The sequence below is a fragment of the Homo sapiens genome, chromosome 2 (assembly GCF_000001405.40).
Source record: "Homo sapiens chromosome 2, GRCh38.p14 Primary Assembly".
NCBI classification, from domain to species: domain Eukaryota; kingdom Metazoa; phylum Chordata; class Mammalia; order Primates; family Hominidae; genus Homo; species Homo sapiens.
In genome coordinates, this window is record NC_000002.12 from 225,756,463 (window position 1) to 225,779,665 (window position 23,203).

The window sequence follows — 23,203 nt, forward strand, 5'->3', positions numbered from 1 at the left end:
TCTAGCTCTACACAGACTAAGACGTTTCATAGAATTTAGATTATTTTTTGAAATGACTTTAAAGTTTTCTTATTTTTAGGAGTGGCATTTAAGTTAATGTCGTTGTGAACATAGGACTTTTGTTGTTTTGTTATTCTAGTAATGTATACATTTGAGCATAACTGGAAAATTCAGAATCAGCCAATATTAATTTTATGGCAATTACCTAATCTAAGTGGGAAAATGTTGGCATACCCTTTTTAAATGCAATACTTTTGTTCATATTCTCTAACATAATGGGCATGTTCTGTAGTTTAAAGAACCTTTGTTTACAAGAGGAAAATAATGTCCTCAGTGCCCTGTAATTGACTTTCAGGGCCCAGTACTGAAACAAGTAGTACAGTATTCCATTACTGCAGCCAGTTTCACAAATCAATCTAAATAAATGTGTTTTCTTTGCAGACTTTAATCAATAAAAACAAATTTGCAAACCTTGTACATGGTGAGAAAAGTGCCAACGATTGTACGAGTTTGAGAAGGCTTTTGTTCTTCTGAAATATTATTTTCTAAAAGTTATTGGATCTTCAGTTTTTAAAGTAAATCTCTAGAACATTTCTTTACCAAGTAACATTATATGCTAGTTGCTTTAGGTCATCAAAAAATGCACAATTTATCCAACACACACATCATTATTGTAAAGCTATCATAATTTTACAATATATAATGTTTAAACTGAAACCGTCCAAAAGACATTCAAGTATTTAGGTTTAGCAGAGTACAAAGTTACTGACGATTAGACTCAGAAGAATCTTTCATCCAGTTACCCTTGTCTATGTCTATTGTCATAGTCTAATGACTAGGCCTATCCTTGTGTATGTGCAGAGAGTTTCTAACATCAGCACCAGAACATTTGCATGTGCCTGTCTGCCAGTTTTTTTTATTCCATGAATATTTATTGAAACAATATTCTGGGCTACACAATTTTAGCTTTACATTGCTAAAAGCTGACAATGTAAAGATGAGTAAGACAGGCTTCTGCTGTAGCATATGAGGAAGTGTACATGTAAACAAAAAGTTCCAATATTCCTTGTTATATGTTATATGCTATATTATGCAGAGTTTTGGACAAAATGCTGAAAAGCATAAATGAATAGAATAATTTTAGAGGTATAAATAAAATGACTTCCGAGAAGAGGCATAATTTAAGCCAGGCATTGAAAAGAGAGCAGAAAAGCTGAAAAATAAGAGAATGACTGTAAATATTAAAAGCACATGGTAGCTCTTCATTCAGAACAAAAAACCCAAATTAAATGTTAATGGGCACTAGGATTAACTGCAAGGTCCTTTCAAATGATACTTACTCCTCTTCTGACTCATCTCAAGTGTCTGTGCTGTTTACCGAATGAAAATGTCATTGCAAATGATATGAAAGTATTATGTCCTCAGATACATGGGCGACAGAAAATGGTTTAGTACCGCTGGTTAGTACAAAACTATTACTGATTCTCAAATGAAGTGCTTAAATTGTTTAGAGTCAGCTAGCTATGGAAGAAGGTTCTATATGCAATAACTGATGTTAAGCAAGTATACCTGTTCCTAAAACGAAGACAGCTATACAAAGTTTTCTCTAGTAGTGTGTGGTGAAATTTTTCATGGTAGATATAAGGACAGTGGCTTATTTGGCTTAGCACCATATCTCTGGCACAGTATCTCATCAGAATCACCAGGCATATTAAAAAAAAAAAAAAAAAAAAAAAAAAAGAAGGCCGGGCATGGTGGCTCACGCCTGCAATCTCAGCACTTTGGGAGGCCGAGGCAGGTGGATCATGAGGTCAGGAGATTGAGACTATACTGGCTAACACAGTGAAACCCCATCTCTACTAAAAACACAAAACATTTTCCGGGCGTGGTGGCGGGCTGGTGGCGGGCACCTGTAGTCCCAGCTACTTGGGAGGCTGAGGCAGGAGAATGGTGTGAACCCGGGAGCTTGCAGTGAGCTGAGATCGCACCACTGCACTCCAGCCTGGGTGACAGAGCGAGACTCTGTCTCCAAAAAAAAAAGATTTCTGTGGTACATACAAGATTTACAGAATCATAACATCTGGGTATGAAATCAGTTAATTTTAATTTAAATCAGCTTCTCAGGTGTTTGCTTAACTGCTAAAGTCTGAGATTGAATGAGCTAAGTTCTGAACATGCTAAATTCAATGCGCCTTCACTACTGAAGTTTGTCCTTCATTTGAAGCAGACTGTGATGAAGGTAAGTCAGATATAGACGTCCATCCTAGACTCAGTTCCACCACCAACTTCCCTGAAACTGCTTCTTCATCTTCAATTATTGTTCAACTAAAAGATTTGTATTTCACTCAGTTATTCATGCTTTCTCCTGGATAAACATTTTTTAGTACCTATTGTGTAGTAAACGCTGCTGCATGAGAACCATGAATAACATATGTTCAGGGAAAATCGTGGTTTTCAAATTGTGCTAGTTGTCAGAGGGAGTGTAGTATAATGTGGGTGCTGTATATGGAACCAGCAGAGTCTCAGAAAAGGCATCCTTCTCAGTAAGGCCATTTTTCACCTCTGAGTAAGCTGAGAATTAAATTTTACCTATGCTGAAAGCTCTGTCCAGGTAGATTTACAATAATTGCCCTTTGGTGCTTTGGGGGAACTCTCACTCTCAAAGAATCTTAATGGATACAAGAGGGTTTATTACTCAATTCTTGAGGCCACAGAAGTCAATTCCTTGAATTAACTTTTTGTCTAGTGCAGATAGTTAAAAAGTAAAATTCCCTTTTGGGGCTTAGAATGAGGAAACTTTAGACTGATTGTAAACCTTTAGGGGATCAAGAGGAGTCTATGTTATAATAGAAGCTTGTGGAATTCTGAAGATAAAGGAGAAGATTATGCTGATTTAGGATGTTTAAGAGACCCTTTAGGCATTTTCTTGTTTCAGTAGATGCGTGTTTAGTTTTTTCCTTTCTTTGCTGACTGCTCACAGTGACATTTTGGATGATCATGGGATGTGTATGTGGTAAAATAAAGGTGAGTACATTTCCAGCCTTGTAGAAAATAAAATAATAAAATGCCCATTATAGAAATTGTCATGCAGTAACCAAACCTGTGATATTCTGCTAGCTTTAGTTATGATTTATTATGTAGGAGGTTTCTATAAGCCTTAACTCTAGTTAAGCATTGCAATTAATGTTATGAGAAGGTTAAAACCACCTTATTGAGAATAGAAGATTAAAAGACGTTTTGCTCAAATAGGAAAGTTCATTTCTTAATTTGGGCCCACAAAGGCCTTCTCTTTTGCTTGTAATTTCCCTCAAAATTGGAGCTTCCTTTCAACAGAGGTTTTTGTTCAACCATAGAACATGAGGGTCTTTGATGGTTCCTGTTCAACTTTGTTTCTCCTAAGTTGCATGTCATTAATTTTTCTCCTTCTACCCCATGCTTTCTGCATGACCATGTTCATTGGTCTTACAGCCTCAACTCTCACCTCTGTGTTGATATGACATCCTGAGGCTACACATTCAGTCTTCTTAAGACAATGTCTTCCTCTTGGTTTTTCCACCCTGGGGCTCCTTGTCACCCTGTAGAGGTCATTTCAAATCTCTCTTTGGGGAAGTCTTCTTCAATCCTCACAGTCCAGCTAATGACTTATTTCTTTGTGCCTCCTCAGGCCTTTCCATGAAGCTCCTCGACACACAATTCAGGGCAAATCTCTCTCTCTTCCCCTAGATTGTGAGGACAGCAATCATCTGTTATTTATCTTCTCCTGCATAGTAGGCAGCAATGAATGATCATTCTTAAAGAATTGGCTGAAGAGTTCCAGTTTGGATGAAATGGTGGCACTGGCAAAGGCAAAACTCTAATTCTACACAAAACACATAAAAATGCTGGAGAAACTGATAAAAAATAGCTTTGGAGATTCCAAATAAGTACAAATGAAGAAGAAAGCTTAATTTTATGAGTTGGGCTGAAGTGGCTTATCAAGGGATTATGCCATGAGAAGCCCTTATTCTAGTACTTAAAATTTTAACCCCTGTGAAGGGAGAAGAGAAATAAGTTTGAGCTGGAGAAAAGGCAAGGAAACAGAACTGAGACCTCTTCCCAAAGTGGGGATCTTGGAAAGATTGCCTTTACTGAGCAGGCAAGCCTGCACCATGAGTTGTCATGGAGACTAACTTTACATTAGGTGCCCATGTAATTGCCCAACAGGTTCTTCCTGCCCACTGCACAGACCATGGTATTAAAATAAAGAAAGAATTTAATTGAGGCTAGGTTAGCTAGGCCATGAAGGAGACGGAGATTTTACTCACATCAATTTCCCGTAAGGCTCGCAGGTTAGGGGTTTTCAAGGATAGTTTTGTAGGCAGGGGACTAGGAAATGGGAAATGTTGATTGGTTGGGGATGAAATCATAGGGGTATGGTAAACAGTTCTTAAAATTCTTTCAGAATTTCTGTTAGTAACTGATAGGTTAGAAAATAATAAATATAAAGAAAATTTGAACAAAAAACATAATAATCTTTACCTACTAGAGACATATACACACACATAGATGAGCATGTACCTATAGAATATATTTACATATATGTAGGTACATATATGATACACATATATATCATATATACAACATAAATATGATACATATATATGTGTGTATACATAGTGAGCTGCACTAGAAAATTAGAAAATACATATTCTCAAAGAGCATGGCACATTTATAAAAATCATCTTCTATACTTCAAATCTTGGAAGTCTTAAATATGATGACAATGATATCTGAAAAAAGGGGTAACATTAGACATAGGTAGGACTATAACTCCAAAATATATTTAAATTTTTTAAATCCACTTTTAAGCTATTTAAAATAATTTGAGTGATAAAAAAATCATAACTATATGTAGTTGGAACAGAGTGACATTGAACCATCTTTACAGAATGTATGACACAGCCAAAAGCAGTACTTGCAGGAAAATATATCCCATTACATCCATATGCTTGAAGAAAAAAAAAAAATTGAAAATTAAGAAGTTAGAAAAGATTGCTGAGTGCAGTGGCACATGCCTGTAGTCCCAGCTGCTCAGGAAAATCACTTGCGCCCAGGAGTTCAAGCCTGTAGTGCACTATGATCATGCCTGTGGATAGCCAGCCTGGCAACATAGCAAGATCTTATCACTACAAAACAAACAAAAAGAGGTTAGAAAAGGAACACAAAATGTGATGGTTAATACTGAGTGTCAACTTGATTGGATCGAAGCATACAAAGTATTGTTCCTGAGTGTGTCTTTGGGAGTGTTGCCAAAGGAGATTAACATTTGAGTCAGTGGACTGGGAGAGGCTGACCCACCCTCAGTCTGGGTGGGCACCATCTAATCAGCTGCCAGCATAAAAACAGAAATGGAAAGAGCAGACTTGCTGAGTCTTCTGGCCTCCATCTTTCTCCCGTGCTGGATATTTCTGCCCTCAAACAGCAGACTCCAAGTTCTTCAGCTTTTGGACTCTTGGACCTATACCAGTGGTTCACCAAGGGCTCTTCAGCCTTCAGTCACAGACTGGAGGCTGCACTGTCAGCTTCTCTACTTTTGAGGTTTTGGGACTCAAACTGGCTTCCTTGCTCTTCAGCTTGCAAACAGCCTGTTGTGGGACTTCACCTTGTGACCGTGTGAGTCAATACTTCTTTTATGTATTTATTTATTTAATTTTTTTATTATACTTTAAGTTTTAGGGTACATGTGCACAACGTGCAGGTTGAGTCAATACTTCTTAATAAACTCCCTTTCATATATAAATTTATCCTATTAGTCCTGTCCTTCTAGAGAAGCCTAATGCATAAAGTAAACCCACAGAAAATAATAAAAATTAGATCCCTAAGCAATGAAATAGAAAACAAATCCTAGAGGAGCTAAGATGGTTTAACTTGCCTAGACCATGAGAGGTCCAGATACCTGGTGAAACATGACCTTCTGGTATGTCTGTGAGAGGGTTTCTGGAGGAGATTGGCATTTGAATTGGTGGGATGAGTAAAGATCACCCTCACCGCTGTGGGTGGGCACCATCCAATCCATTGGGGGTCTCAAGAGATCAAAAAGGTGAGGGAGGGCTAATTTCTTCTCTCAAGGTGGAATTTCATCTTCTCTTGCCCTCAAACATCAGAGCTCTTGGTTCTTGGGCCTTTGGACTCCACTGGAAGTTATGTCATTGGCTTCCTTGGCTCTCAGGCCTTTGGACATAGACTGAATGACACTACCAGCTTCCCTGGTGCTCCAGCTTGCAGACACCAAATCATAAGCCTTCCATCATCACACGAGCCAGTTCCCATTATATATATTTCCTAGTGATTCTGTTTCTCTGGAGAACCCTGACTAATACGGGACCCAATAAATGTTAGAGACTAGTAAAATAATCATCTCCTGCCCAAATTGATTTATTACGAAAAAAAAGAGGAGCACAAAACCAGCAGTGGGAATAAACGTGTAGATATGGGACACCGTAGACATACACAATACCTTTGAAACCCTAGATTACGTGGAGAAATTTCACACACAAAAGTTTGCTACAAGTGACCAAAAAAAAAAAAAAAAAAACCCAAAAAACAAAAAGCAAACAAAAAAACACCTTAACCTATTGACCCTATGTTTCCATTGATGTTTCCATTTAAAATAATACGTGATTCTCACCTCACAACTACACATAAATTTCAAATACAAAAAGTGGCTAGGTGCAGTGGCTCAACCTGTAACCCTAGCAGTTTGGGAGGCAGAGGTGGGCGGATCACCTGAGGTCGGGAGTTCGAGATCAGCCTGATCAACATGGAGAAACCCTGTCTCTACTAAAAGTACAAAATTAGCCAGGCGTGGTGGCACATGCCTGTAATCCCAGCTACTTGGGAGGCTGAGACAGGAGAATCGCTTGAACCTGAGAGCAGAGGTTGCGGTGAGCTGAGATCGTGCCACTGCACTCCAGCCGGGGCAACAAGAGCGAAACTCTGTCTCAAAAGTAATTGCAGTTTTTGCGATTACTTTCAAAGTGTAAATCTTGTAGATCTGCACCGACTAATAGTTTAATGGCCTAAGTAGAAAAGCAAATTTTTAAAATTATAGAATAGCGTATTTTTAAGAATACAGAAAAGGAAAGCTTTCTTAAATAAGACAAAGAAATCATAAATAATGTAGAAAATCATATCCACTTATTTATATATGTTCTTTCTGATAGTACTGAAATAATACTTTACATATTGGGGGTGGGATGGGGGATAGGCAGCATTAAGGGGTAATTGGAAAAGAGGATGCTTAAAAACATTGTCAAGCTTTGATTTCTGCTGATTATGGGCTCTAGGCTTGCTCTTCCTAAGGTAGATTCCAGAATAACACCATGCCCAAGGGCTATGGATTTAAGCCACAACCAGCTTCTTTTACTTTGGTGTGGAGGTAACTTTAGATTCTACAGGGCCCTTGGGAATGTGGGGGCGGGATGAGCATGTCTAGTAGTCCCTGACCTTGTAGGTGGCAGGCACAGTACAGTTGAGAACAAGGAGGAAATGCCTTCCTTACACAGTGCATTTGAAGAGAATCAGGGATCTTTTTTTTTTTTTTTTTTTTGAGATGGAGTCTCACTCTGTTGCCCAGACTGGAGTGCAGTGGCACGATCTTGGCTCACTGCAACCTCCGCTTCCTGGGTTCAAGCAATTCTCCTGCCTCAGCTTCCCGAGTAGCTAGGACTACAGTCACATGCCACTACGCCTGGCTAATTTTTTGTATTTTTAGTAGAGACGGGGTTTCACTGTGTTAGCCAGGATGGTCTTAATCTTCTGACCTCGTGATCGGCCTGCCTGGGCCTCCCAAAGTGCTGGGATTACAGGCATGGGCCACTGCACCCAGCCAGGGATCATTTTAATTAAAAACAGCTATATGACAAATACTGCTTCAAAACAAATCATTTCTTTGATGAGATTGCTGTCCATGAGCATCTTTTTTTGTAGAGAATGTGGGATAGCCGCCAATAAGAACCGTGACTGGTATTCAACCAGAAATCTGAGACATGGAGAAAACAAACCAGAGATGACGATCAAAATACTTGGTAGACGCAAACAGGTGGAAAGCTCTGTAACTAACGGGACTGAGAAAATGTCATGATTGTGGGGTGTTGATCATTTGGTAATGCTGGGTTTCAACAAAAATGTTCTTTTGTGGGATCTGTGATACTGATTTGGCCTCAGAAATGTAAAAGTTGCAGCAATACACCAAATAAGAAAGGTGATGGATAGCACCCTGTGTGCTAGTGACTCACTAGGCTCAGAGAGATTAGGAGGAAGATTTAACTAGGGCCTTTTTGACTGCAAAGCTCATGTTATTCATTTTCTGACATGACTTCAAAATAAGTGTTGTGATGTTTAATTTTCTGTGTCAGCTTGACTGGACTAAGGGATGCCCAGGTAGCTGGTAAAACACTGTTTCTATGTGTGACTATGAGGGTATTTATGGAAGAAGTGAGCCTGTCCTCACCAATGTGAGGCATCATCTAATTTATTGAGGACCTGAAAAGAATAAGAAGGCAGAAGGAGGGTAAATTCCTCTCTTCTTGAGATAGAGTGTCCATCTCCTCTTGGTCCCAGACATCAGAGGTCCTGGTTCTCAGGCCTTCAAGCTCTGGGACTTACACTAGTACTCCCCTTCTTACTGGGTTCTCAGGCCTTCCTCCTTGGTCTGGGAGTTACACTATTGGTTCCCCTTGTTCTTAGGGCTCTGAACTCAGACTGAATTTCACCAAGGGCATTCTTGGCTTTCAGCTTGCATAATATGGAATTTCTCAGCTTCCATAATCGTGTGAGCCAATTCCTACGATGAATCTCTCCATATATCTATAGCTACATATCTATACCTATATTATTGATTCTGTATCTCTGAAGAACCTTGACTAATACAGATGTTATCCTAATTTCTCAATTGAAGCAGCTAAGAGTCAGGGAGTTTAGGTGCTATTGACTGAATGTTTGTATGCCCCCAAATTTATGTTGAAACCTAGTTCCCAATGTTATAGTATTTGGAAGTGGAATCTTTGGGAGGTGGTTAAGTCTTGAGGGGAAAGAGAACCCTAAGAACTCCCTCACCCCTTCTTCCATGTGAAGACATAGCAGGAAGGAACATTTATGAATCAGGAAATGGGCTCTTGCCAGACACTGAATCTGCTGGTACCTTGATCTTGCACTTCTCAGCCTCTAGAACTTAGAGAAATAGATGTTTGTTGATAAAGCTATCCAGTCTATTGTATTTTTGTTATAGAAGCCCAAAGGGGTTAACACACTAGGTAACGTCTAAAAATCACGGAAACTTTAACCTCAGGCTTTATTTTTCATCCCAAATATTCTAAAGACTGTGATCTTTATATTCAATTTTACGCTGTACTCTGTGTGTATCTGTGCACATATGTGCTTGTGTGTGTGTGAGAGAGAGAGAGAGAGAAGAGCCAGAATAAAAAATAATATTTGCAACTTTGGTTTGGAATTTTTTTTTCAGTTGGAAGAGTTCCTAGAACATTATGTTTTTCCCATGCCTTACATTTTAACTGAAGTTAAAAGAAATAAAAGCTGTGCATACTTTACAATATTATATAAACAAATCACCTTTTCTTCAGCTGATTACCCACTAGGCCAAGGCAGGTGCTGCTGACTAATCACCAACCAATCTTTTCAACTCAATGACAAGAAAATGTAAAGCAATCAGGTGATCTACATTGTGTCTAATTTTGGGAGCCTCTTAATCCAAAGTTAAGACGATCAGCTGTGTGTAGTTTTCATTTTACTGTAGAGTCAGTCAAGGCCTACTGTTTCTCAGAAATTCAAACACTCATATTTGTTCTTTGCAATTTTTATTTTTTTAATTTGAAAAGCCTGCAACTGTGGTTCAGAATGATTTCTTTACTCCAGCTATTTTCTTTGGGTTCCAATGAAGCAATGCAGAACACATTTGGACACTGGGCAGAATATGCGTTTAGTAAACTACATCCTTGTAAATAATAAAGCCTTGTCAATGATCGACCAGCCATTTGGCTGTTTCCTGTTTTGTAATCCTTGTCTATGATGACATAATAGATTCAGAATAACATTTGTTTCTCCAGGTTTGTGGTATAGCTGAAAATCACGTTCCCGTAACTTTATATTTTGACTGGCTAGCTTCATGGTGAAGTCAGATTAAAAAAACTGTGGAAAAACAGTGGGTGGTTTCTTTCTAATACATTCTTAGAATGGGAGAAAGTATTCAGTTCCTCCCGTTACAGTGACATGCTCCTTTTCATGTGATTTCTTCCTTGTTATAAATAAGCTGTATTTGATTGCCTCTGCACATTTTTTATTAGTTAACATCTTTGCTGTTTTGACATTTTATGTGTATTTGTGAAGAAAGTAAGTTGAATTAACAGAGTAGAATTTTTTCAAATTGTAAATTTCTCAAATAATTTCAAGGCTATTAATTCTTATTAATTGTACATAATGAAAATATTGCTGGCAATTTCTCGCTCCTTGTCTCTTAATATTAGGTGTCAAAGGGCTAGTCCCAAATATTCAAAGGTCCTATTTATTTATTTTCCGTACAATTAGTTTCCAGTGAACTTCATGACAATGCATTTGTATAGCAAACATAAATATCTTAAGCTTTGGACATCTTTAATTAATATTTTAAATGTGTTATTTATGAGACACCTGCAAGAACTAGTGTGATTACTTTATGATTTTATAACATTTTCTGTAGCAAACTTGCTGTATAAATTAGAATTGTCAGTAATATAACTATGACAGAAATAAATGAAAATGTTTAGGTTTAGAATTAAAAGTCTCAGTTTTTAAGTTAACTGACATTGGATATTTGCATTACCTAAAATAACAACTTGTCTCTTTCCCTAAAGGCAACCAGAAAAATGTTACAACTTATTAACTGGATGCCTCGAGAGCTCATCCCCTGCAGTGGAGACTGCTGGATGCAATTCTAAGATCTATTTCATTTTTCTCTGTCACAGAATCCTGATTTCAGCCAACACATCACTGCCAATAATAAGAGTCCACATATCACAGCTTCCTATACATACTAGATGTGGCATGTGGCTAGTAAATGACCATAAAATTTAGGAGTAATATTTTTGGTGGGACACTTTTCAAAGGAAGGATAATCTTTTTTTCCTTCTTTCTCTAGCATATAGCTTGGAATACAAATGTGATAGCTGGAGCACTAACAGCTATCTTGGACCATGAGGTAATAGTAAGATTAGTAGTTCCCTGTGTTGAAAGGTACCTAGTGCCTTCATGGACCTGCTATGCCAAGGCAGTAAAGGATTACCCACCACTGGACTTGTTTTACAAGAAAGAGAAATTAAGTTCCATCTTACTTAAACTAATTATTTCAGTTTTTTACTGTTGTGTGAAAACAAGCCTAATCCTTAGTAAAAAGTACTATAATACTACAATAATAAATAACTAATATAACAATTATAATAACAACTAACATTTATTCAATTTTACTATGCATCGGATAATATGTTAAACACTGTAATAATTAATTTGATCCTCACAGCAACCTTACAAGGTAGATAATATTATTACTTCCTTTTTAATAGATGAGAAAACTGAGGTTCAGAAGAGCGAAGTGGCAGACAGAGAGGATCCAGGCTCCAAATGTGAAAAATCTGACTCTAAAACTTCCGTTCCTACCACAGGGTCATGTGCCACCATTGGAAAATTAGCACTGGTCACTTATAGTTGGAGATCAGACTTTCCATGCATATCATGGCATCCTGTCATCTCCTGCCATCTTCGTGACCCTGCATCACTTAGATGTATACGCAGATTGAAGAAAATGAAGATTTATTGATTACATACTATATTCAGGCACTGTGACAGATATAGGATATACATGCTTCTCCAATCTTAACCATTGTCCTGTGAGGGAATCAGGGTCATAAGATTAATCCCAGGAACCCCACTTACTAGGTTTTGGACCTTGGGACAACTAAATGATTTATGTGAGTATATTATAAGGTGGTTGACCAATTAAAATAATCCCTAAAAAATGCTTAGAACAGAGCCCAACACATGGTAACCACTCCATGCAATTAATAGCTCAATGAGCTATTAATACTTCTATTATGTTACAGATGAGGGTCCTGAGGCTTGGATAGGTCAGTGAACCGGCTGTTGTGGACCAAGTTCTCTTGAAAACTAACTCTGAGACTGAGGTTCATGTGCAGAAAATTTATTAGAACACACTCTTAGCAACAACTCCTGTGGGGGAGTTGGGTAGGTGGTTTGAGCAGAGATGTTAGCTGTGACGCAGAGGCAGTAGAACTCAGCTGATGCCACAGGGATCCTTGAGCTGGGATGGCCTTCAGAGTTCTCTCCCTTGGGGACAGAGGTCTAGGCCTTTGCACCTGTGCTTTGACCAGTCACTGGATATGAAAGGGTCCAGGAAGGGGACATAACTCAGGGCGAAGGAGCTCCCTCTGGAGGAGGGCGATTTCCAGGGTGTTCTCAGGTGAGAGCCCACAGAAGCCCACACTTAGCAGCTGCTGGGAGAATAAATGCCTTGGTCATAGGGAGATATCCAGGTGTCTCTCCATGATGCCAAATCCATGAGCACAAAGTCTTAAGTGACAGAGCTGGGTTCAGTCAGATCCATACTCCTTAAGCCACTGCCTCCTTGTACAGTGCTGCAGAGCCTCTCACATGACTTATATAAGAAATTTGTTGGGTGGTAACCACAGAGTCACTTCAAAGGGAGCCTACATGAGACCATTCCCCATCATGTGACTATTTGCTGGGAGAACTTGGTATAACTTGCTTCATCATTTAGCATTACTCATTTCATTCCTTCTGTTTTCTTGCAGGAATGCCTACCTTAGACTACTTTTTCTAGCAGCAAAGAAGCAAAAAACAAAGTAAAAGGACTATAAGAAAAAACTACTGAGATGAATAGAAAACTCATGCAGTATACAATTACTGGCAGATGTTTTCACACTTTCTTTTTTTACAAGCCAACTATTATCTGTGCTACAAACTGAGTAATTGATTGGGAGACTGGTAAGGCAAATAAACAATCAGTGCTTACACACATGCACACACACATGCATATATATGTATGTGTGTCTATATATACACATATGTGTGTGTATGTGTGTAAATATACACACATACACATTTTTATGAAATCTACGTCTGTATATTTTTTAATTTTTAAAAGTATTCCCCCAAATACTTTCCTAGCAAGTAAGTGTTGGGAGGCAATGCAGACGATGAGCAATACTGCTCCAGGGAACCAGGGACTTGCTCCATGTATACCATCCCTCCACTTTCTATCACTTCCACAGGTCCAGTGTGCCTGAGGCAACATTTCTATACAGGCTCTGTTCTATTCTCTTGTTTAGAAATAATGTTTTAGTGTTTTACTGCATAAGAGAGCCATGTCTTGAGATAGTGCACATGGGACTATTTAGTAAAAGAAAACTGTTAATTTTGTTTAACCCAGCTTTTCCAACATTTACCTTACTACTTTATCCTTTCTTCTGTCCTTAATATCCTTAAGAATGCCCATAGGAAAAGCCTACTGTCTTCTCGTCTTCTATCCATGGACTTCTCCATTCCTGTTTCATGTTATCTCTTAGTATTTCTCAGCTGGGGATATTAACAGGTTTCATCTCTGTGTCCAGGCCATCGCAGTTCCTACATCCATCATCATAGGTTCAAAAGAGCCCCAGCTGCTGCTGCTGCACTGCAGCCAGGGCTCAAATCACATCCTGATTCCCCTCATTATCTGGTAAGCGATGAATGAGTCTGTTCTGGCATTGATGGTGCTTTGTTCACTCTCTCCCCTCTCCTACAGTGTTCTCTCAGTGGTCCGGTGTCCTGCCTTGATTTTTGGTCCTTATACTAGCCTAACTCCAACAGTCTCTGATATGGTTTGGCTCTGTGTCTGCACCCAAATCTCTTCTTGTAGCTCCCATAATTACCATGTGTTGTGGGAGGGACTTGGTGGGAGATAATTGAATCACAGAGGCAAGTCTTTCCCATGCTATTCTTGTGATAGTGAATAGGTCTCATGGGATCTGATGGTTTTAAGAAAGGGAGTTTCCCTGCACAGGCTCTCCTTTTGCCTGCTGCCATGCACATAAGATGTGACTTGCTCCTCCTTACCTTTTACCTTCCACCATGGTTGTGAAGCCTCTCCAGCCACGAGTAACTGTAAGTCTGATAAACCTCTTTCTTTTGTAAACTGCCCAGTCTCAAGTATGTCTTTATCAACAGTGTGAAAATGAATAATACAGTTTCCTTCTTTGGGGCACCAGAACCAGCTTTTCTCATGTGGTTTCTGCCATACAGTTGCCCTTCTCCTAGTCTCTCTGGAGTTCCACCTTGATCACCATTTAGGACCACCTTTTACTGCACTCGCCTGATCCATGCTTGAGCTTTGGTGACTCTGGGTCACCCAGAGTCCATCTTCAGGGTCAGACTGGGCAGCTGGCTGGATTCTTTTAGCCCTGTACTGAAGCAAGATCAGGAGATAATAACAAAGAATTGTATTTTTAGCCAGGACAACTTTCAATCTTTTCTTATCCTTTTCAACCCTATTTTATGCTTGTCCCAGTGTGTTTGGGAGACCAGAGCGTCTCCCCTTTACTGCAGGAGCTATATGTATGACTCAAGACGAGGTTGGTTCTATGTTATCTGGGCCATTTTTACTTAAGTTGGCCTTGCTAGATGCTGCTACATATGACCTGTATGTATGCTAGACGCTGCTTCGTATGACCTGTATGTCACTGTGATGTTTACAGTTCAATATTTGATGTTTCCTAGCATCACTAGATGTAAGTGCAGTGAGAGACACTGGAGATGGGGAAAAGGATAAGACATAATGCTTACCCTCAATGCCCTTGTCATCCAGCTGGAAAGATATCACATTGTGTAAGGCAATCAGTATTGATATATGAAGCATTGCTATGCTTTAGCCAGCAATATCCACAGTCCATAAGAAGAGGAGTGCTTACTATCTCTGCTTTGGTTTGAGAAGGCCTCATAGGAGAAGAAAGACCTGAGTAGGGCTTTGAAAATATAGGAAACTAATAAGAAGAAGACTATTTGTTAAGTAACTCTTTCCAGGGGACTGTTTTGGGCTTTAGAGAGATTTGAAAAATAGAGCAAAATGCTTGGTTTCAGGAACTTCCAGTTTAATTATAGCAATAGAACTAACATACAAGTGAATGATAAATGTAATATAAATGCGTAGAACTGATTAGAAGAGTTGCAGAAGCATAAACAAGGAAGATATCCAAGAGGGCTGAAGACTTTGTGAAAGTACTACTGTGACAGTAGGAATTAAACAGTGTCTTAAAAAAATGGTGGTGTTTGGGTAATGGAGGGGCACCAGGAAGGATGAATAATGGCCTAAGTAAGAGAGACTCATATTAGGATGGCCACATGTCTTGGTTGGTCTGGAAGAGTCACTTAATTATTAATAGCACCAACTTTCACTTTCCAATGTGCCTCAGTTTGGATGATAAATTAGCTGGTCACTGACTTTTGAGGAACTTTTCTATAATCCCTTTCAATGAACATTTCATTAGCGCATCTACTAGAGATCTCTGTCTTCAAATATACCTACTGTTTCTTGGTTTCTGTTTCAGTTATTTAAAAAGTTTGCTCATTTGGTGGTATTTCTAATATAACTTTTCGAGTGAAAATGGAATGTACAGCCTGTGCTATTTGTCTTTGGCCCACAAGACTCTATTACATGCATTATATATCACCTTGTTTCCTTTGGAGGGTGATAGAGCGCAGGAAGCTGGTTTTCTGTGGTTCTGATTTCATTCTATTTTCCCCTATGGATTTGTTATATTACACAATAGCAGACAGATCCATTTCCATTACTTGGAGTTCTAAACTCCAAAAATGAGCCTGAAGAAAAAGGTGTTCTTTATAAAAGTGGTTTCCAAAGGTGTTTTTCTCTTGTAAAATACATGTGTTTGTTGCACAGCAAACTTTTGAGCATAGCTGACAGATATATATCTGCAAAACATGGCAGAGATTAATGGGGCCCAATAGCTCAAAGGGGTTGATAATTTCTGTGGTGAGTTGAACCCTTTTAGAAATGTACAATTTTTACAGTTACAGGAAATCCACAAATTTAATTTCTGTTTCATATTCAAGTGTGTGGTAAGTGGGTAATGATATCTAAGAAAATAGGCAATTATGAATTCATGTAGTTCAATTTGGAATATAATGTGTTCTATTCCAAACCTTATGACTTACAGGAAGCAAAAATAATAGGTGTGTTTGCTGGAAGTAAAAGAACAACTTTTTCCATATTTAAAAAATACTAAAATTCCTTTTTTTTTTTTTTTTGAGACGGAGTCTCACTCTGTCGCCTGGGCTGCAGTGCAGCAGCACGATCCCAGCTCACTGCAACCTCTGCCTCCCAGGTTCAGAGTTCAAGCAATTCTGCTGCTTCAGCCTCCCGAGTAGCTGGGACTACAGACACACGCCATCACACCCAGCTAATTTTTTGTATTTTAGTAGAGACAGAGTTACACAGTATTGCCCAGGCTGGTCTTGAACTCCTGAGCTCAGGCAATCTGCCTCCCTTGGCCTCCCAAAGTGCTAGGATTACAGGCATGAGATACTGCACCCGGCAAAAAACTAAAATTCTTATCTTATATGAAAACCCCTGCTCCCAAACGCCAAAAATATCTTTTTTTTTTTCATATGGTGAGATTCCTACCCAGTTTGATATAAGTAAAACCATTTTTTTCAGACCTAGCTAAGCAAAACAGTTTTATTAATATTATTCTGTCTGGTTCTCTTTCTCTGTCATTCTGTCTTCTTCCTTATCTGGTAAATTTGGCTGTGGATCTCATGAGTGCTGGCTCCTTCTTGAGATATCTGGCACTCACCCATCATTATTTCCACTCCCAGATGGAATCCTGCAAAATCAGCCTTACTTTGACCCTCTGATTTTTAAACCCAGACAAAACCTTCACGTGAAAAAAGAAAAGACAGAGGCTGGGCAACTTTAAGTGAGAAACATAATTTTGTTTGTAATTTAATGGTAATCTTTAAGTCCTTATGCCAGATGAACTCCAGAAATATTGAGAACTAACACTGTATTGGCCCTTCTAAAATTGGTCTTTTGTGAGTTTGGGAAGTGAAAGCAGGAAAAATATTTCAAATCCATAACCTATATCTGTGCTGCCCAACATGGTAGCTACTAGCCATGGGTATCTATTTAAATTTAAATTAATAATATTAAATGAAATTAAAAATTAATTTCTTTAGGTACACTAGCCACATTTCAAGTTTGCAATAGCCACATGTGGCTAGTGGCTACCATATTGGGCAAATAAAAATAAAACACTTTTATTATTGCAGAAAGCAATAATGATTATTGGATATCACTGATTTATGATCTTCAATCATAAAAAAGATCATAAACATTTATTAAACATTTTCTCAACTCAAAACATTAAAAAATGTTTTATAAAATTTGTATTATATTCAATGTGACTATTACATGTTTACTTAGGAAAAAAATAACATGAACGGTGTAGCCAGAGTGATGATAATTTGGGATAAGAAAACCGGTAGAAAAAAATGCAGAAATGTATGTTAGGAAAAATAAGTTTTTCACTACCATCACAGCTTATACTAAGAAAGCTTTAATTTTTTTTTCTGTAAATTCTTTAAATATCCTGTCTCAAGATTCTTGAACATTTTTTTTTCGATTTAAGTTAAATTTAAAATGACAAAATTTTAAAGCTGAATGCCTTAGGGAAGTTTCATTACATTTCAATAAAACCATATTATTTATAGTTTTATTGTCTAATAGTCTATTTTAATATATCAAAATACACTGTCTTAGCCCATTTGGGCTGCTGTAAGAGAATGCTAGAGATTGGGGGACTTATAAACAACAGAAATTTAGTTCTCACAGTTCTTGAGGCTGGGAAGTCCAAGATCAAGCACCAGCAGATTCGGTGTGTGGTGAGGGCCCACATCTTGGTTCACAGCCATCTTTGGCTGAGTCCCTATATGGTAGAAGAACCAAGGGAGCTTTCAGAAGTCTTTTTTATAAGGCCACTAATCTCATTCATGAGGGTGGAGCCCTCATGTCCTCATTACCTACCAAAAGCCCCACTTCTTAATATCATCAAGTACTAAGGGGTTAGAATTCCAATATACGAATTTTAGGGGGATGTTAACATTTCATTTATAACATTCCCCGCTGGACTACCAGAATTTACATTATCACATGCAAAGTATCCACCTAACCTGTAGCATTTTATTATAGCTGCCCAAACAGTCTAAGATAGAAATTGGTACAGAGAAGTGATTGTGCTTCTGTAACAAATATGTAAAAATGTGAAAATAGCTTTGAAACTGGCTGATGGGTAGAGGCTGGAAGAGTTTGGAAGTGCATAATAGAGAAACCCTATATTGCTGTGAATAGACCTTTAGAGGAAATTCTGGCGAAGGCTCAGAGATAAAAGTAGAGTTGTGAAGAAGGCCTGAATCTTCTTAAAGAATACTTAAGTAATTGCCTTAGTCCTGTTCCTATAACATAATACCTGAGACTCAGTGATTTATAAAGAAAAGAGGTTCATTTCTCACAGTTCTGGAGGCTGGGAAGTCCAGATTGGGCAGCCACATCTGGTCGGCTTCCTGTCAGGATCATGTGCTGCATCATAACATGGCGGAAGGCATCATGGGGCAAGAGGGGTGCACTGAAAGCCAGACTGGCTTTTGTAACAGACTTACTCTCTTGAAAACTAACCCACTCCTGTGGTAACCCATTAATCTATTACTCCTGCCCTCATGACCCAATCATCTGTTAAAGGTCTTATCTGTCAACATTGCTGAACTGGGGTTAAAATTTCAACATGAGTTTCAGAGGGGACAAACCAGACTCAAACCATAATAATAGTGATGAACAGAGTGTTGGTACACATAGGGACAGTCATTCTGATGAGTTCTTAATTGAAAAAAAGCATTATTAGAAAGTGGAAGAATGGAGATTCTTTTTATAAAGTGGCAGAGAAGTTGGTTGAATTGTGTTCATGTTCTAGTGTTTTGTGAAAGTTACAATTTGTGAGTGGTAAAATTAGATATTTAGCTGAAGTGATTTCTAAGCAAAGTGTTCAAGGTGCAGCTTAGCTCTTCCTAACTGCTTATGGTAAGATGAGAGAGAAGAGAATTAACTTAAAGGCAGAATTGCTAAGCAGAAAGGAATTGGAACTTTAAAATTTTGGAAGTTTTTAACCAATTCATATTGCAAAACATGAGAAAGTGTGTCCAGAAAAGAACATTAAGGATGTGGCCAATTAACCCATTGATATGGAGACAAGTATGAAGGTGAACCATGGGCCTAATTATTAATCTCAACAGAAACCAGATGCTATTCCTTAAGACAAGTGATGAATGAGCCCAAAAGTAACTTAGAGATCATCAGGGCTACCTCCTCAGTTTCAAATGGAGGGACCATTGCCTTCCTTTCAACAGACCAGATGACTTCTGCCCAAAACCAATGAAGGCAGGGCTACTCAAAGCTATGAATGCCCAACTCTAGCCAACAAAGCTGCAGGAACAGGACTGCCACCCTAGTGTGTCTTAATGGTGGGACCTTCAGCCCAGTGGACCTGAAGAAGAACATATCAAGGCACAAAGGATTATTTTTAAGCCTTAGATCTCAAGGAGTTTGCCTTGTCATTTGGACTTGCTTGGAGAAGAACATATCAAGTCACAAAGGATTATTTTTAAGCCTTCAATCTCATGGAGTCTGCTTGTCGTTTGGACTTACTTGGGATCCATTACTTCTTTCTTCTTTCCTGTTTTTCCATTTTGAAAGGATATCTTTAAACTACACCTGTCCCAATATTATATTTTGGATGCACATAACTTGTTTAGTTTCACAAGTTCACAGCTGAAGAGGAATTTGCCTCAAGCTAAATCATACTTTGAGTCTCACCCATATCTGATGTAGATGATATTTAGATGATATTTAGATTACACTTTGGGTTTTTTCTTTATAGTTGATGCTGGAACAAATGCTGCAACTGTTGGGATGTAATTAACATATTTTCCATGTTAGAAAGACATAAATTTGGAGAGGACAGGGATGGAATGATATAGATTGAATTTTGTGTACTCCCAAAATCTAAATGTTAAAATCTTAATCCCCCAATATGATGATATTTGGAGGTGGGACCTTTGGTAGTTGATTAGGTTATTTTGACTTCACTGTCATGAATGGGATTAGTATCCTTAGTGTTCATAGGAAGGAGACTCTAGAGAGTGCCCTTAGCCTTTTGGCTATGTGAAGCCTCAATGAGAAGATGGCCATTTAGATATGAACCAGGAAGTGAGCCTTCCAAAGACACTGAATCTACTGACACCTTCATCTCGGATTTCCCAGGCTCTAGAACTGTGAGAAATAATTTTCTCTTGTTTATAATCCGTCTGATCTATAGTCCTCTGTTATAACAGCCCAAATGGACTAAGACATGCACAAAACTGGAAGAAGTCAGCTGTGAATAAATATAATTTTTGGTCCCTTTTCTGATTTTATGTGTTGCTTCTTGCAGTTGGTCTTTCCTCAGATCATTTTCTACACATCAAAACTTTTAATCACACCTACTTAGATGAATTTTATAAGTGTAAAGGCAAATGTAATGAAGTGTTTATCTCAGATATTTCTATTCTGATGCAAATTATTGTGGCTTATTTTAGTTAACAGTCTGAACATAGTACATATAACACAGAAAAGTCTTATTTATTAAAACAAACCATAATAGAAAATCAAATAGGTAAGTTGAGATGAAATCACAATGTTTGTTTCATATTCTGTAATAATTTATATACCTTAAATATCATGTGGATGTAATATAACTTAAAGCTATTTTGAAAAACTTTTTCTGAAATTAACAAATGAATATTAACTTTACTGAATGAAATGTTTATGTTTTCAATGTAAAAATGTATTTATAACAAATATTTATTAAGCTCTTATGATGAACTCAGAACTATGTTAAATATTGGCAGTAGAACAGTGAATGAGAGAGGCCAGGTCCCTGCTCACTTAGACCTAGTGAACTGCATTTCGGTGGTGGAAACAGACAATAAACATGTAAAAGTCCCATTTCCTATCACACTAAGTGTGATGAAGAGAAGGAAAGAGTTAATACAATGGTGAATAAGTGGAGTGGTAGGGACAGCAGTGAATAAAGCAGTCAAGAGAAATTCTCAAAAATTCTGAAAAATAACAGAAAATCTGTTAATGGCAAGATTTGAGATGGAGTAAATAAATGTAAGAAACCGTCAGAAAGAATTTTACATGTGCTAATAGTAATGTCTATTCACAGCTTTATCGAAATGCTTTTATGGCTAGCACGTGAAAAGGAAGTAAAAAAAAAAAGGTCACACTTGAAGACAAGATCCTATTGGCTTTTATTCTATTTATTCAACAACTATTTACTGAGTGTGTATAATATTTCATGCTGTGGACTAGAGGCTGGAAACACAATGCTGAGAAAAACAGCCCATTCACTTGTCTCTGAGAGCAGCTTTTGAGAATTACTGACCCTCAGGAATGAAGAATGTGGTTCCATGAGAAATATCATTGAAAATAAAGCAGTCAGATTTTCAAAACAAACACACGCACAAATAACAAAAGTGAGATAGAGAGAGAAAAGAAGTCTTAAAATTATATGACAGTCAAAGGTCTTCCTTTTTGGTTTGACATTTTAGTTTCATCACCTGCTCCCAGAATATCTATGATTGGAAGTACCATATTTATAGCTCCAAGATGAAAAATTAAAAAAAGTCTTCTCTTTAATTAAACGTTTGCAAAAAATATGAATGGTCACTAAAACAGGAGATATGGCCAAACACGGATTTTGCTTTCATTCATCATTCCTCCACCTGCTCTTTAAAGATTATAGTTTGTTTCCCACTAATTGTATCGGGCATGGATTTGGCAAGCTTATCTGCGAGACTCTCTCTGTTGTGGTCTAGGTCAGCTTCACCCCATGGGAGAAAAGAAGGATCTGGTTCATCGAATCAAAGACCTAAAAAAGTCAGGGAGGAAGTTTTCCTATAATCTTAAAGTTTGTTTTGTAAACAAGTCCTCTTTAATCAGGGCTTTCAAGCTATTCTGTCACTTCAAAGTCCTTTCAAACCAGCCCCAAGTCACATTTTTGGTGCACAGACCAAAAAATAGGCCTGGCAAAAGCAGCCATCATTACCACTCATCATGCTGGTTAGTCTTTTTTAAAAGTCTAAGAAGCTACAGCAAGTTCACTGAACAATTATTAAGAACAAGTTTTAAGAAGAAAATTAATCTAATCAATTTATTTGGAGATCTACCTTTACAAAGCAACAGGGGACAGGACTCTATGCTGTAAAGAGAGATGCAAAATGAACAACAAGTGGTGTTTCTACTCAGAAAATCTGCAATTTCTCCAAGTAGTGCAAAAGCCCAGGAGATCAGAGACTGAGGATGAGAGCTCTTGGTATTTATAGTAAAACAAAGGGTTCCCATTCCCAGAGAATGCGACGCCATCCAATTCCATGTCTAATCTACTGAGCCAGTAGAGGTAGGCTTTTAAATTATCTTGTGTAAAATAAAATGTCCATCATGACAATAGCAATGGATTCTGATATATGGTATTTTGTGTGCCAGGTACTTGTCTAAGCGCTTTACATATGTAGCATTTTTAATCCTCACGGTATTGCTACCCTTATTATAATTCTCTTTGTCCTGAAGGGGAAACTGAAGCAAAGAGTTTCAATGCCTGCAGGATTGCACAGCAGGTGGGCAGTAGATTTAACTCTGCTTCTTGGTGACCATTCTCTTAACTTCAAGCCAAATTGCATTTCACAGAGGAGTGTTGAAGAAGCAAACTCTTCATAAAGAAGGCATGTCTTGAATGAATATTTATTTATTTATTATATCACGTCATGCATTCAGTCATTATTGAACTGAGTACCTAATATTGCTGTAGAGCCTTCCACAATGTGTCTCTTGCCTAAAACAAACAAATAAAAATGATGGCAAAGATCTATACAAGTGAAAGTATGCAATGATTGCCCACAATTCTCTGCATGGATATGGATGAGGAGGCATGGTTGTCAAAATGTCAATTTCCAAAGTAGCCTCTGAGTCAGCAGAAAGCAAGGACTTTGTTTTCCA

The 23,203-nt window shown here is 38.0% G+C and overlaps 2 long non-coding RNA genes across 5 annotated transcripts in view; one reads left to right on the forward strand and one right to left on the reverse strand.

Annotated features, from left to right (window-relative positions):
- Nucleotides 1-23,203, reverse strand: part of LOC105373914 (uncharacterized) — a 211,043-nt gene that overhangs the window by 75,914 nt on the left and 111,926 nt on the right. The gene's annotated exons all lie outside the window — the stretch shown is intronic.
- The window catches only part of LOC107985992 (uncharacterized), a 118,146-nt gene continuing 109,053 nt past the window's right edge, over nt 14,111-23,203 (forward strand). The window contains exon 1 of the long non-coding RNA XR_001739907.2: nt 14,111-14,208. This is a non-coding gene — a long non-coding RNA (uncharacterized LOC107985992). The remainder of the gene's footprint in view (nt 14,209-23,203) is intronic.